Source organism: Homo sapiens, chromosome 13 (assembly GCF_000001405.40).
Source record: "Homo sapiens chromosome 13, GRCh38.p14 Primary Assembly".
Lineage (NCBI taxonomy): Eukaryota > Metazoa > Chordata > Mammalia > Primates > Hominidae > Homo > Homo sapiens.
In genome coordinates this window covers 92,510,798-92,526,259 of record NC_000013.11, presented here as the reverse complement: position 1 = coordinate 92,526,259, position 15,462 = coordinate 92,510,798, and the positions used below count along the sequence as shown (strand labels likewise).

At 37.2% G+C, this 15,462-nt stretch overlaps 1 protein-coding gene across 2 annotated transcripts in view; it reads right to left on the bottom strand.

The window, feature by feature from the left end:
* The window catches only part of GPC5 (glypican 5), a 1,468,617-nt gene that overhangs the window by 340,978 nt on the left and 1,112,177 nt on the right, over positions 1–15,462 (bottom strand). The window lies entirely within an intron of this gene.

The window sequence follows — 15,462 nt, the reverse complement described above, 5'->3', positions numbered from 1 at the left end:
TATTTTTCTTATTGCTGTTAATTACCTTCCACTTTCTTGCAATATTTGCATGTTTATTGTTCTATATGTCTATAATTCCATACTGTGGAACAATACCTGGACCACAATAGGTTTGCAAAACAAAGTTTGTTGAATAAAAGAACAAATGGATGAATATTATATGATGGGGAGCATGAAGTCAAGGAAGGTTTTCTGTGTTCTACAGTAACATTTAAGACAGGAGATACTTGAACATGTTTATGTAATCAAGGGGTAGTGAACAGTGAGAAGTTGGAGATTATATTATAGAAATTGCAATGATATCTGATAGAGCATCAAGGTAGTAAAGAGACATTCAATGCTTAACGTTGGAAAGAACAGTAAACATTGTGCCTAAGAAAGGAGTTGATAAGGGAAATTCTTTTGATTAGATACAGAGGAGTATATAGCTGTGAATATTGGGATCAGAGCAAATTTCTGGCAGGATTAGCTCTCATGGATAATATCACCATCAGCTAGTGCCAGAAGTGAGCTCCCTTCACTTTTCCTTTGGCAGTTATTTTGGAAGAAGAGAAAAGATCGCATCAAATGACTGTCTGCTCTGACAGAAACTGTCCTTATCTTTTGCAGTAGTCCCTTAGAGATATAATTCAGTATACTAGGTGGAATCTCTATTATGATTTCAACCAGGTAGACATATTAGAAACATTTAACTTTCTGCCATTATATTTATGCTACAGTTTCTTCTCATATACTTATTACTGTCACCCAAAGTATCTTCTAAGCTTTTCTGGTTGTTTCACACACACACACACACACACACACACACACACACACACACACTTGAATCTATCTACTTCTGATTCATTTTGATTCTCCCAGTTGCTTCATTATATTAAATCGTATCTTCAAATGAGGCAGTTCATATGCTCACTTCAAAACATGTGATATTTTTCTTCTCTGAATCCATTATTTACAATTCAGAGTACTATGATAAACAGCGCAAAATCTCTCCACTGTGTAGATTCCATTAAACAAATGGTAGCAATAACAGCAGAAATTCATAAATAATTAGCAAGTAGTAGGCCAAACAGAAATCATCCACTGTGAGATGACTGAAGAAAATCAATGGGAGGGCTACAGAGACTGTGCAGACTCAATCACAGTCATGTGCCATGCGATGGTATGGCCTTTCAGTCATAGCTGCTTTAATAATCACTTGCATTTAAGATGGCACAAAATTCAATGCATGAACTTGTTTTTCTTAGTTGATAAGCCCCACTCAACCTTTCTTTATTTTTCAATACACTTAGAAACCCAAGCATTGGTCATTAACTGAAATAAAGAAGGGCTTTAAAAGGCTTACAATGTTATTCATCCCTACGCATCTCCATATCTTGTGTTGAATTCATTCTTGCCTACATTTAATTCTGGACCTTGTATTTAGCTTGCAAACCTTCATATTTAAAAATGATGTGACTGTTAATGATGTCTACCTAAAAGCTGTTTCTGAGGAGCCTAAAACAAATATAAGCAATAACTACTTTTAGCTCCAAGTGAATGGATAATCTACAATAATCAATATACAACTTTCTGTCTGGCTTTTCTGATATGCTCTCAATGAAAGGACTTTAGAATGAGTTGGCCTCACCACAGGTCTAGGAGACCAGATAGAAGTCTAATGTGACTTTAGAAAAATAAGTGACAAACTTCCTGTTCTTTTGATTATACATAGAAATATGAGTGCATAAATCAGTAGCAGTTGGCCTTTTGTATCCATGGGTTAAGCATCCATGGATTCAACCAACCATATACTGAAAATATTTGGAAAAATATTCTGTCTGTACTGAACATAGATAGACTTTTTTTCCTTACCATTACTCCCTATACAATGCAGGATAACAACTGTTTACATAGCATTTACGTTGTGTTAGGTATTATGTGGAATCTAGAGATGAACAAAGAAAGTGGTTTCTTGAGATAAAATCATTCCTGGTGAAGAGGCTGTGAACATTGCTGAAATGACAACAAATGATTTAGAATATTCCATAAACTTAGGAGAGATGTGGTTTGAAAGGATTCAAAGTTTTGAAACAAATTCTGCTATGGGAAAAATACTAGCAAACATCATCGCATGCTACAGAGAAATCTTTCATGAAAGGAAGCATCAATTGATGTGGCAAACTTTATCATTGTCTGCTTTTAATAAATTGTTACAGCAACCCCAATTAGCATCAACCACCACTCTGATCAGTAGGCAGCTATCAACATTGAGGCAAGACCCTCTATCATCAAAAAGATTACAACTCGCTGAAGGCTCAGATGATTGTTAGCAATTTTTAACAATAAATTATTTTTAAAATTAAGATACATACACATTTTATTAGACAAAATGGTATCGCACACTTAATTGACTATAGTATAATCTAAACATTACTTTTATATGCATGGGAAACAACTTGTGTGATGTAATTGACACAGCTGCCTTGTAAAATATTAATTCAAATGAAATAATTAATTTGTTGACTATAATGAGTAAGTATTGATACTATAATACAAAAGGTTTTGTTGAAATGTGGTTGGTTGATTTCCATGTTCTTTGATGTCTTCTTTTTAACTAATTTAAATGTTTTACATTTGTTATGTTAAACAGATTAATTTAAAATTCACTAAAATAGTTATTTGGAAGACCTAGAAATTTTGCTTCTAAAATAATTATTAAAAGTTTGCTTCCACATATTTGAAAGATGGAGATCAGAAAAACTGTGTATGTATTTACAAAATCAAATTCTCAAATATTTGATGGAAATGTTTCTAAATATTCATTAAAAATTATCATTACTTTGTACAAGTTACATACAAAAAGGAGGTATTTGTCAAATATCAAAGAACATTTTTGCTATAAAAGGATAGATTAAGTAACTATGTTCTAAAATGTTAATCTAAACAGCATATGACTGAGAAACTACTGTCAGCCCAGAAAATGTCAGCAAATTTGGAACACTTGTTTGTTGTTGTTTTTAAAAAAGGTGTTACTTATCTTTGAGTTTAGCAACACACGAGTTCCAGAAGGTCAATAGTGAATATCTGAGTACAAGAGATTTTCATAAAAATTCTGAGCATTATTACAAACAATTCATAAATTTCTTTTACAATCATCAAAGAAGTCTTGTTTTAATTACGTTAACTGTATCAATAACATCCTATATCACTTTTCCGCATTTTCTGCCACAAATTATTGTCGTAATCATTTTCCAACGAATGTTGTAACAGAAGAGGTTCATTCTTGCACAGTCTAATTTTCAGCAGAGATTATATTTGTATTGTTTTCCATAAAACATTGTTTTTACCAAAAACATTTATTTTTTGAAAAACGTATTTTCTCTGTTATGCTTCTTTATTGGCTCAGGAAAAAAAACTGTACTTACATTTCAATATTTTAAAACAGAATTTAGCAAATAAGTTGAGATGTGTTAGAAACATCTATTTTCTTTTTATTTTCAACTATTTTTTATTATTCTTTAAGTTCTAGGGTACATGTGCACAATGTGCAGGTTTGTTACATATGCATACATGTGCCATGTTGGAGTGCTTCACCCATTAACTCATCACTTACATTAGGTGTATCTCCTAATGCTTTCCCTCTCCCCTTCCCCCACCCCACAACAGGCCCCAGTGTGTGATGTTCCCCTTCCTGTGTCCAAGTGTTCTCATGGTTCAATTCCCACCTATGAGTGAGAACCTGCAGTGTTTGTTTTTTTGTTCTTGCAATAGTTTGCTGAGAATGATGGTTTCCAGCTTCATCCATGCCCCTACACAGGACATGAACTCATCCTTTTTTATGGCTGCATAGTATTCCATGGTGTATATGCGCCACATTTTCTTAATCCAGTCTATTATTGATGGACATTTGGATTGGTTCCAAGTCTTTGCTGTTGTGAATAGTGCCACAATAAACATACGTGTGCATGTGTTTTTATAGCAGCATGATTTGTAATCCTTTGGGTATATATCCAGCAATGGGATGGCTGGGTCAAATGGTATTTCTAGTTCTAGATCCCTGAGGAATCGCCACACTGTCTTCCGCAATGGTTGAACTAGTTTACAGTCCCACCAACAGTATAAAAGTGTTCCTATTTCTCCACATCCTCTCCAGCACCTGTTGTTTCCTGACTTTTTAACGATCGCCATTCTAACTGGTGTGAGATGGTATCTCATTGTAGTTTTGATTTGCATTTCTGTGATGATGAACATTTTTTCATGTGTCTGTTGGCCACATAAATGTCTTCTTTTGAGAAGTGTCTGTTCATATCCTTCACCCACTTGTTGATGGGGTTGTTTGTTTTTTTCTTGTAAATTTGTTTGAGTTCTTTGTAGATTCTGGATATTAGCCCTTTGTCAGGTGGGTAGATTGCAAAAATTTTCTCCCATTCTGTAAGTTGCCTGTTCACTCTGATGGTAGTTTCTTTTGCTCTGCAGAAGCTCTTTAGTTTAATTAGATCCCATTTCTCAATTTTGGCTTCTGTTGCCATTGCTTTTGGTGTTTTAGACATGAAGTCCTTGCCCATGCCTATGTCCTGAATGGTATTGCCTAGGTTTTCTTCTAGGGTTTTTATGGTTTTAGGTCTAACATTTAAGTCTTTAATCCATCTTGAATTGATTTTTGTATAAGGTGTGAGGAAGGGAATCAGTTTCAGCTTTCTACATATGACTAGCCAGTTTTCCCAGCACCATTTATTAAATAGGGAATCCTTTCCCCATTTCTTGTTTTTGTCAGGTTTGTCAAAGATCAGATGGTTGTAGATGTGTGGTATTATCTCTGAGGCCTCTGTTCTGTTCCATTGGTCTATGTCTCTGTTTTGGTACGAGTACCATGCTGTTTCGGTTACTGTAGCCTTGTAGTGTAGTTTGAAGTCAGGTAGCATGATGCCTCCGGCTTTGTTCTTTTGGCTTAGGATTGTCTTGGCAATGTGGGCTCTTTTTTGTTTCCATATGAACTTTAAAGTAGTTTTTTCCAATTCTGTGAAGAAACTCATTGGTAGCTCGATGGGGATGGCATCGACTCTGTAAATTACCTTGGGCAGTATGGCCATTTTCATGATATTGATTCTTCCCACCCGTGAGCATGGAATGTTCTTCCACTTGTTTATATCCTCTTTTATTTCGTTGAGCAGTGGTTTGTAGTTCTCCTTGAAGAGGTCCTTCACATCCCTTGTAAGTTGGATTCCTAAGTATTTTATTCTCTTTGAATCAATTGTGAATGGGAGTTCACTCATGATTTGGCTCTCTGTTTGTTATTGGTGTATAAGAATGCTTGTGATTTTTGCACATTGATTTTCCATCCTGAGATTTTGCTAAGTTGCTTATCGGCTTAAGGAGATTTTGGGTTGAGATGATGGGGATTTCTAACTACACAATCATGTCATCTGCAAACAGGGACAATTTGACTTCCTCTTTTCTTAATTGAATACCCTTTATTTCTTTGTCCTGCTTGATTGGCCTGGCCAGAACTTCCAACACTATGTTGAACAGGATTGGTGAGAGAGGGCATCCCTGTCTTGTGCCAGTTTTCCAAGGGAATGCTTCCAGTTTGTGCCCATTCAGTATGATACTGGCTGTGGGTTTGTCATAAACACCTCTGATTATTTTGAGATACGTCCCATCAATACCTAATTTATTGAGAGTTTTTAGCATGAAGGGCTGTTGAATTTTGTCAAAGGCCTTTTCTGCATCTATTGAGACAATCATGTGGTTTTTAATCTTTGGTTCTGTTTATATGCTGGATTATGTTTATTGATTTGTGTATGTTGAAGCAGCTTGCATCCCAGGGATGAAGTGCACTTGATCATGGTGTATAAGCTTTTTTGATGTGCTTCTGGATTCAGTTTGCCAGTATCTTATTGAGGATTTTTGCATCGATGTTCATCAGGGATATTGGTCTAAAATTCTCTTTTTTTGTTGTGTCTCTGCCAGGCTTTGGTATCAGGATGATGCTGGCCTCTTAAAATGAGTTAGGGAGGATTCCCTTTTTTCCTACTGATTGGAATAGTTTCAGAAGGAATGGTACCAGCTCCTCCTTGTACCTCTGGTAGAATTCTGCTGTGAATCTGTCTGGTTCTGGACTTTTTTTGGTTGGTAGGCTATTAATTATTGCCTCAATTTCAGAGCCTGTTATTGGTCTATTCAGGGATTCAACTTCTTACTGGTTTAGTCTTGGAAGGGTGTATGTGTCCAGGAATTTATCTGTTTCTTCTACATTTTCTAGTTTATTTACATAGAGGTGTTTATAGTATTCTCTGATGGTAGTTTGTATTTCTGTGGGATCGGTGGTGATATCCCCTTTATCATTTTTTATTGCGTCTATTTGATTCTTCTCTCTTTTCTTTTTTATTAGTCTTGCTAGCAGTCTATCAATTTTGTTGATCTTTTCAAAAAAACAGATCCTGGATTCATTGATTTTTTGAAGGGTTTTTTGTGTCTCTATCTCCTTCGGTTCTTCTCTGATCTTAGTTATTTCTTGCCTTCTGCTAGCTTTTGAATGTGTTTGCTCTTGCTTCTCTAGTTCTTTTAATTGTGTTGTTAGGGTGTCAATTTTAGATCTTTCCTGCTTTCTCTTGTGGGCATTTAGTGCTATAAATTTCCCTCTACACACTGCTTTGAATGTGCCCCAGAGATTCTGGTATGTTGTGTCTTTGTTCTCATTGGTTTCAAAGAACATCTTTATTTCTGCCTTCATTTCATTATGTACCCAGTAGTCATTCAAGAGCAGGTTGTTCAGTTTCCACGTAGTTGAGCGGTTTTGAGTGAGTTTCTTAATCCTGAGTTCTAGTTTGATTGCACTGTGGTCTGAGAGACAGTTTGTTATAATTTCTGTTCTTTTACATTTGCTGAGGAGTGTTTTACTTCCAACTATGTGGTCAATTTTGGAATAGGTGTGATGTGGTGTTGAGAAGAATGTATATTCTGTTGATTTGGGGTGGAGAGTTCTGTAGATGTCTATTAGGTCTGCTTGGTTCAGAGCTGAGTTCAACTCCTGGATATCCTTATTAACTTTCTGTCTCATTGATCTGTCTAATGTTGACAGTGGGGTGTTAAAGTCTCCCATTATTATTGTGTGGGAGTCTAAGTCTCTTTGTAGATCTCTAAGAACTTGCTTTATGAATCTGGGTGCTCCTGCATTGGGTGCATATATATTAAGATAGTTAGGTCTTCTTGTTGAATTGATTCCTTTACCATTATGTAATGGCCTTCTTTATCTCTTTTGATCTTTGTTGGTTTAAAGTCTGTTTTATCAGAGACTAGGATTGCAACCCCTGCCTTTTTTTGTTTTCCATTTGCTTGGTAGATATTCCTCCAGCCCTTTATTTTGAGCCTATGTGTGTCTCTGCATGTGAGATGGGTCTCCTGAATACAGCACACTGAAGGGTCTTGACTCTTTATCCAATTTGCCAGTCTATGTCTTTTAATTGGAGAATTTAGCCCATTTACATTTAAGGTTAATATTGTTATGTGTGAATTTGATCCTGTCATTATGATGTTAGCTGGTTATTTTGCTCGTTAGTTGATGCAGTTTCTTCCTAGCCTCGATGGTCTTTACAATTTGTCATGTTTTTGCAGTGGCTGTTATTGGTTGTTCCTTTCCATGTTTAGTGTTTCCTTCAGGAGCCTCTTGTAAGGCAGGCCTGGTGGTGACAAAATCTCTCAGCATTTGCTTGTCTGTAAAGCATTTTATTTCTCCTTCACTTATGAAGCTTAGTTTGGCTGGATATGAAATTCTGGGTTGAAAATTCTTTTCTTTAAGAATGTTGAATATTGGCCCCCACTCTCTTCTGGCTTGTAGAGTTTCTGCCGAGAGATCTGCTGTTAGTCTGATGGGGTTCCCTTTGTGGGTAACCCGACCTTTCTCTCTGGCTGCCTTTAACATTTTTTCCTTCATTTCAACTTTGGTGAATCTGACAATGATGTGTCTTGGAGTTGCTCTTCTTGAGGAGTATCTTTGTGGCATCCTCCGTATCTCCTGAATTTGAATGTTGGCCTGCCTTGCTAGATTGGGGAAGTTCTCCTGGGTAATATCCTGAAGAGTGTTTTCCAACTTGGTTCCATTCTCCCCTCACTTTCAGGGACAACAATCAGACGTAGATTTGGTCTTTTCACAGAGTCCTATATTTCTTGGAGGCTTTGTTCGTTTCTTTTTACTCTTTCACTGATATCCTTTCTTCCAGTTGATCAAATCAACTACTGAAGCTTGTGCATTCATCACGTAGTTCTCGTGCCATGGTTTTCAGCTCCATCAGGTCATTTAAGGACTTCTCTACACTGGTTTTTCTAGTTAGCCATTCATCTAATCTTTTTTCAAGGTTTTTAACTTCTTTGCATTGGGTTTGAACTTCCTCCTTTAGCTTGGAGAAGTTGGATCGTCTGAAGACTTCTCTCAACTCATCAAAGTCATTCTCCGTCCAGCTTTGTTCCATTGCTGGCGAGTAGCTGCATTCCTTTGGAGGGGGAGAGGTGCTCTGATTTTTAGAATTTTCAGCTTTTCTGCTTTGTTTTTTCCCCATCTTTGTGGTTTTATCTACCTTTGGTCTTTGATGATGGTGACGTACAGATGGGGTTTTGGTGTGGATGTCCTTTCTGTTTGTTAGTTTTCCTTCTAACAGTCAGACCCTCAGCTGCAGGTCTGCTGGAGTTTGCCAGAGGTCCACTCCAGACCCTGTTTGCCTGGGTATCAGCAGCAGAGGCTGCAGAACAGCGAATATAACAGCAAATGTTGCTGCGTGATCGTTCCTCTGGAAGCTTCATCTCCCAGGGGTACCCAGCCGTGTGAGGTGTCAGTCTGCCCCTACTTGGAGGTGCCTCCCAGTTAGGCTACTTGGGAGTCAGGGACCCACTTGAGGAGGCAGTCTGTCCATTCTCAGATCTCAAGCTGCATGCTGGGAGAAACACTACTCTCTTCAAAGCTGTCAGACAGGGACATTTAAGTCTGCAGAGATTCAGAGATTTCTGCTGCCTTTTGTTTGGCTATGCCCTGTCCCCAGAGGTGGAGTCTACAGAGGCAGGCAGGCCTCCTTGAGCTGCAGTGGGCTCTGCCCAGTTCTAGCTTCCTGGCCACTTTATTTACCTACACAAGCCTCAGGAATGGTGGGAGCCCCTCCCCCAGCCTCACTGCCGCCTTGCAGTTGGATCTCAGACTGATGTGCTAGCAATGATTGAGGCTCCGTGGGTGTGGGACCCTCCGAGACAGGCGCGGGATATAACCTCCTGGTGTGCCATTTGCTAAGACCATTGGAAAAGAGCAGTATTAGAGTGGGAGTGACCCGATTTTCCAGGTGCAGTTTGTCACCCCTTCCCTTGGCTAGGAAAGGGAATTCCCTGACCCCTTGTGCTTCCCAGGTGAAGTGATGCCTCACCCTGCTTCGGCTCACACTCAGTGGGCTGCACCCACTGTCCTGCCCCCACTGTCCGATGAACCCCAGTGAGATGAACCTGGTACCTCAGTTGGAAATGCAGAAATCACCCATCCTGCATCGCTCATGCTGGGAGCTGCAGACTCAATAATCTGTTCTTGATCACAGAAGTCAGAAATGGAAATACACATTTGGGAATCATGAATATATAGATGATAATTAAAACAAGGACGTTCCTAGGCTTCTCTTTCTTTACAGCAACTGAAAAAGGGCACTCAGAAACATCTATTTTCTTTACCAGCTTTACAGAACACCTTCCACACTGAATAACTTGTCCTAATACTTCTTTCTTCAAATTTTCAAAGAATATCTCTTCACCTTCCAATAATATTTACTGATAAAGGAATTCATTTTAGCCATTTTGACTCTAGCAGGAAGAAGTTTTATCCCCATAATATATCAAGTGCATTAGTGGGTCTACAAACTTGTATTTTTTAAATTTAACTTCACAGGTATAAATATTTTTATAGTTTAATAAAAAACAACAATATGGACTCGTGTATTTTATGCCAATGTTAATTTCCAAATTACTAATATGTTAACTATTGCTATATGGATTATTATTATTTTCTTGTGTAGACCTCAGTATGTTCTCCCACAGTACTCAGTGCATAATTTTAAAAATTATAATTAATGTATATTTAAAAGTAGAAAAAAAATTAGCTGTACCTAACAAAATGGTACTATTAGGTGAACTTTAGTAACCCATGCATGCAATTAAATACTGAGAAAGGGTCTCAGGGATCTATAAGCTAGCAGCAAGTTCATGGCACAAAGTCAATAGTTATATGAAAATACAGAATATATGATTTAATAGTAATATCACACTAGAAAAAGTCTAATGCTACTTTTACGCTTAAGTGCTTCTTGTCTGATTTTTATATTCATGAAAAGAAATGTGAACAGTTAGTAGTTATTGGTAATATTTCAAGTTAAATTATTTAATTAAACTTTTCTTTCTTACTTTATTTTCATGTTTTAGAACAACTTAATTTAGTCTTCTGGGTTTGAGGGTAGTGTTGTGAATTATGATTTCCTCAATATTGAACACAAAAAACCAATAATTGTCTTAAGGCCTGTGTCATCCATAAACCAGGATTTCCATTTTTGGTGGTTAATAAAGTATTACACTGTGTCTTATTGATTGGGTTCATTGATTCAATTCATTTTAAATAAATTAGTCCTTTTATCTGCTTTAGAAATTTATATTCATATTATGAGGGTATATAAAATAAATGTATCTACTGCTTGAAAAACAAGCTAGTAAAATTCTACAGTGTATTCTCAGTTGTATGTACATAGGTCAAACAAAAATGCCACCTTCCCAAGCATCTAACTGGGTCGAGAACTTCATACCATACTGGTGTCAAGCTTCATGTTTTACCCTGTACAAAAACCAAAAATCTCTGGAATTAGATGAAAGAAACACATTAAGGTCCACACCATCTTCAGTCTTCCAGGTATCTTTACTCCCTTTCTTGGATTCTCAAAAAAATGCTGCTCCCATCTTGGTACAGTCAGTTATGTTTCTGTATATCAACTATTTGGTTACAAATTCTTTGGGGGTAAGGATTATGTGTTCATTTACTTGTTCTTAGTACTAAGCTTAGTGGTGCCTGACACAGTGGAAACACTCAATATATATTATGAGTTTTAGTGAATTAAAACAAAATCTCATTTTTCTGCAAATATATCATCTAGTTTTTATTCTCTTTACTGGTTTTACCTTGACTACTCTTTTGAGCTTATATTGCATACTTATCCTCCAGGTTCTTCAGTTTTCTCTAACTTTCACCATTTTTGCTTACTAATTTTTCAACAAATATGTTCTGTCATCTCCCTGCGTTTCTGTGGAGTCTGCCAGTCACGATGAGTGAGGGAATAATGACAGTCAATGACGGTGCATGAAATAAGTGGTTGCCATAACCTATTTTTTTCAGGTTGCTGTCACAGATAAGAGTCATGCTTTGTCACAAAAGAACTCTTGGATCCTTTATTGGAGAAGGCCGAATGGGTCTTACGGGTTATTTGTCTGACTCACTAGATAATTCTGTCCTAGTTTTATTCAAAGTAGTCCAGAACTGAGTTTAGAAATTCCGCCCCTCACAAAGCATCTGGCTCATTTCTCTTGAAGGCCATATAGCACTGTGGCGAATGGGCAGGCTCTGGATTGGGCAAATGGAGGCCCCAGTCTCTGCTTGCCACTATTACCTTTGTCATCTGGAGCATGTATTTGCCTTTATGTGCCTCCAGTTACACATCTATGAAAGGGAGATAATACAGTGCCTACCCCATATGTTTAAAAGGCACGTACAACAATGCCTTGGGCCAAAGTAAGAGTGGAAAAAGTAGTAGTTCTTTCTGTGGTTTTCCTTGTACCAAATTTTCTGGGCTGAACACAGAGCCTGAAACAAGGACTTCTAAATTTCCCTGGGCTCTTTCTGATAAATATTCAGCGTTCTCTAGAACAGCACACCAAGTAATTTTGCTATTGGGATCACCATAGTATATGTCTTAATTCTTAGTCTTCCAGCTTAGAATGTTATCCCTGACATGAAAACAGTAACACTAAATTTGAGAGAAAATATATTAAAATAGTGTGTGTTTTACATTGGAGCAGACACTGACAGGTGACAAATCAATATGACCTGGGTGTGTGTGTGGGGCGGGGGCGGGGGGGCAGGGACTAGCAAAACCTTCAGTAAAAATCATACCCCTTCTTGTTTAGTTTTTATATTTTTTTAGCCTTACTCCCTTTCTTTTTACTGATTTATCTGAGTAAATTACTAAATTCCTAGTTGATCTACATTCAAAGGCCATTTCTTTTAAGACAAGTTGAGCAGCTTTAATCTGAAGATCTGAAGTTCAAAATGCTCAAAATCTGAAACTTTTTGAGTGCCAACATGATGCCACAAGTAGAAAATTCCACACTGACTTCATGTGATGAGTCATAGTCAAAATGCAGTCAAAACATTGTTTTGTGAACAAAATTACTAAAAATATGGTATAAAATTACCTTCAGGCTATGTGTATAGGTGTATATAAAACATAAATATTGTGTTTAGACTTGGATCCGAACCCCAAGATATCTCTTTATGCATATGCACACATTCCCAAACCCCCCAAAAACCTGAAGTCTGAGACACTTCTTATCCCAAGCATTTCAAATAAGAGATACTCAACCTGTAAAACCATTTATTGAAATTCTCTTAGCCTGAAGTCGAAAGGAAAGGAAAGAAAAAAGGAAAAAGGAAAGGAAAGGAAAGGAAAGGGAGAGAAAGGGAGGGAAAGAGAATGAGAGAGAGAAAGAAAGATGTCTTATATGCCTTAATTAAAAAAAAAAAACAGAAAAAAGCTTTAGATTTTTAACTAGGATGTGGAAAAATACACAGGAACAGAAGTTTATTTAGTTCCACAACCATGACAGCAGTCCAAGTGAATTAATTCATAATACTTTCAATGTTCATTATTATAAATTCACTTTTCACCTAAACATTGGACAAAAAAGGATTGCATGTTCTCCTATGTTTAATAGACCCCTAAGCACACTGTCAATGATTCCTAAAACATTACTTCTAGGTCCAATATGGAAAAAGCCATGTTCCTGCTGATTTTCACTACAGGAAAAGGCGGCCTGCTGATTCCCGCCCTTCTCCTAGAAGAACAGTATTCAAGTACGAACAATACGTCTTCCCATCCCTCTGAGTGTAACATGGCCTTCCGCCGGTGACCTTTCCAATACACCAGCACAAAGGTACACCTGTGACCCTGCTGCTCGGCTGAGCATCACATCTGCATGGAGGACAGTTGCCAGGATGTAGCAATGTGGCTGTTATCCAGGAACTCTGTGACAACATCGCATCACGTGCTGGCCCCATTCAATTTATGAGCAAAACCAAAGCCCTGAAGACTTTAATGACAGGAAGGAGGACTGTAGCTACTCCTATTACTAGTGATCAGAGCAAAATGAACCTTGCAGAGCCAGAAGCTATAAAGCCAATTGGCTAAACTCCACAGAAAACTGATTCTAAGAATGTTAATTGAGCATAAATTAATGTGAAGGCAGTAATGATCCATGTGAATTTCAGATGATTGACTATATCATTAATCTCCAAAGCATGAATAATGTGAACCCTTCCCTTCTCTTCTAAATGAACACTGAAAATACAGAAGAGCTAACTGGATATTGGCATAGGGAAAATGAAGAAATAGGTGAAAAAGTAACAGATCAACATCTGGGTTACTACAATTCAGATGATCATTATGTTGATAACTTTCTGAAAAAGCCTACAGATGAAGCATTTAGAGTAAAGCTGTTTCTTATATATAATATTTTTATTGTCTTAATTGTAAGATATATTTTATGTATTGAAATGTTCACACATACTATCCTTAAAATCTTATTATTTGTTGCTTTAGGGATTCCCATTTTAAGTGCAGTGGTATTAATTGTTCCTTCTGTAGCTTCTCCCCACTTGTCACTAAAGTACTTAAGGTGACTCGGAAATAGTAAAAAATATGTGTTACCATGAGCGTGCATGCACACAGCGTACGCGCGCGCGCGCGCACACACACACACACATACAATCTACAAAATAAAAAAAAATTACTAGGATCAATCATTAAGTGTTGCCAGGGCAGAATCGGGGAGAAAATTTAGTTAATATAAGATAAATGGGTTGGACTGGCAAAAATCATCAATATCTCATGGATGCATGCTTTGCTATTGAAAACAGGATAAACTTGGTCTTAGAGAAGGTCAGGAGCTATTTTGCTTCTTTCCCACTGACTGATTCTAGCCCAGACACCCAAGGTACAAAGCAACTAGAAATCGGGACACCCAGAACTTCACTACAGGGATGTTCTATTTTGAGACCATTTGCCTCCCACTTCTCCAGCCTGCACTCCACGTCTCTCTTTCACCATATAACAAGCATAACCTACTGAGATGGAAAATGATCACAGGTAAAGTGCTGCATGAGATGATGAAGTCAGGAAGGGTCTAGGAGTCATACAGATTGATGATTGCAGTTTCTCCCTTGCTCAATGGAAAATGTCAAAGAGCTAAGTATCAGAAGAAGGAGAAAATTATAGCTCTGGCAACAAAATGACTTTATAAGAGAATATGCATCTCTTAAGGTTAAAGGGAAAAACCTACAAAGAACCATGGGGTTTGTGGGAAAAATATGAGAGCACAAAGTAAGTGAAACAACATCCAAAAATGGTCACAGAAATCATATGCCCTTGAACAACAGAGGTATCATTTAATCAGCTGGCATTTTTTGCAGGCTAAATGACAGCTGATTTCTCTGAAATAAATGCAAAAATCCTAGCAAAGGAGATCCCCAGATGAAAAACTAACATAAAGTAATTACAAGTATGACCGTTAGGAAATATTTCTGGAGAGAGACAAAAATGGAAAAAGAAAGCATAATTAAAATATACATTTGTGCTAGTGGAAACTACAGTAAGTCCAGTCAATGTTGTGAAAGACAAATTTGAGATACTTTCCCAGAATGCAGAAATGAAGAACCAAGAATAAAATGAGAGCCAATACAGCTATGGGAGATGATAGATAGAAATCTATTCTAAAAATAGCAGATTTACTTGAGAAAAAGCCAGAATAATTAAAATAGAAAAAATACATTAAGAACAGAAATAAAGTCTGTTCAAGAATTTTAAAAGCCAAGCTAAACATATCAAACCAAAGAAAACCCTAACCTTTCAGATGAAATGAACCCATCCTTTTCTCTATGTCTTTATAAGATACCAATCTAGATATTAACAAAGGTTTTAATTAAAATCATAATAGTGAATTCAAATGATGGGAATGATCTACTTTAATGTTGAGAAAGGCCCACACATCATAGCCTGATCTTATCCTCCCTCACTTCATTCCATTTCCTAGAGGAGTGAACTGAGCCTCAGACAAGTTGCAAACCCTAGAAAGAATGCTGACAAGCCATGGACTGATTGATTTGGTAATGGAGATGCTATCAATCTAATCACCCTTACTTAT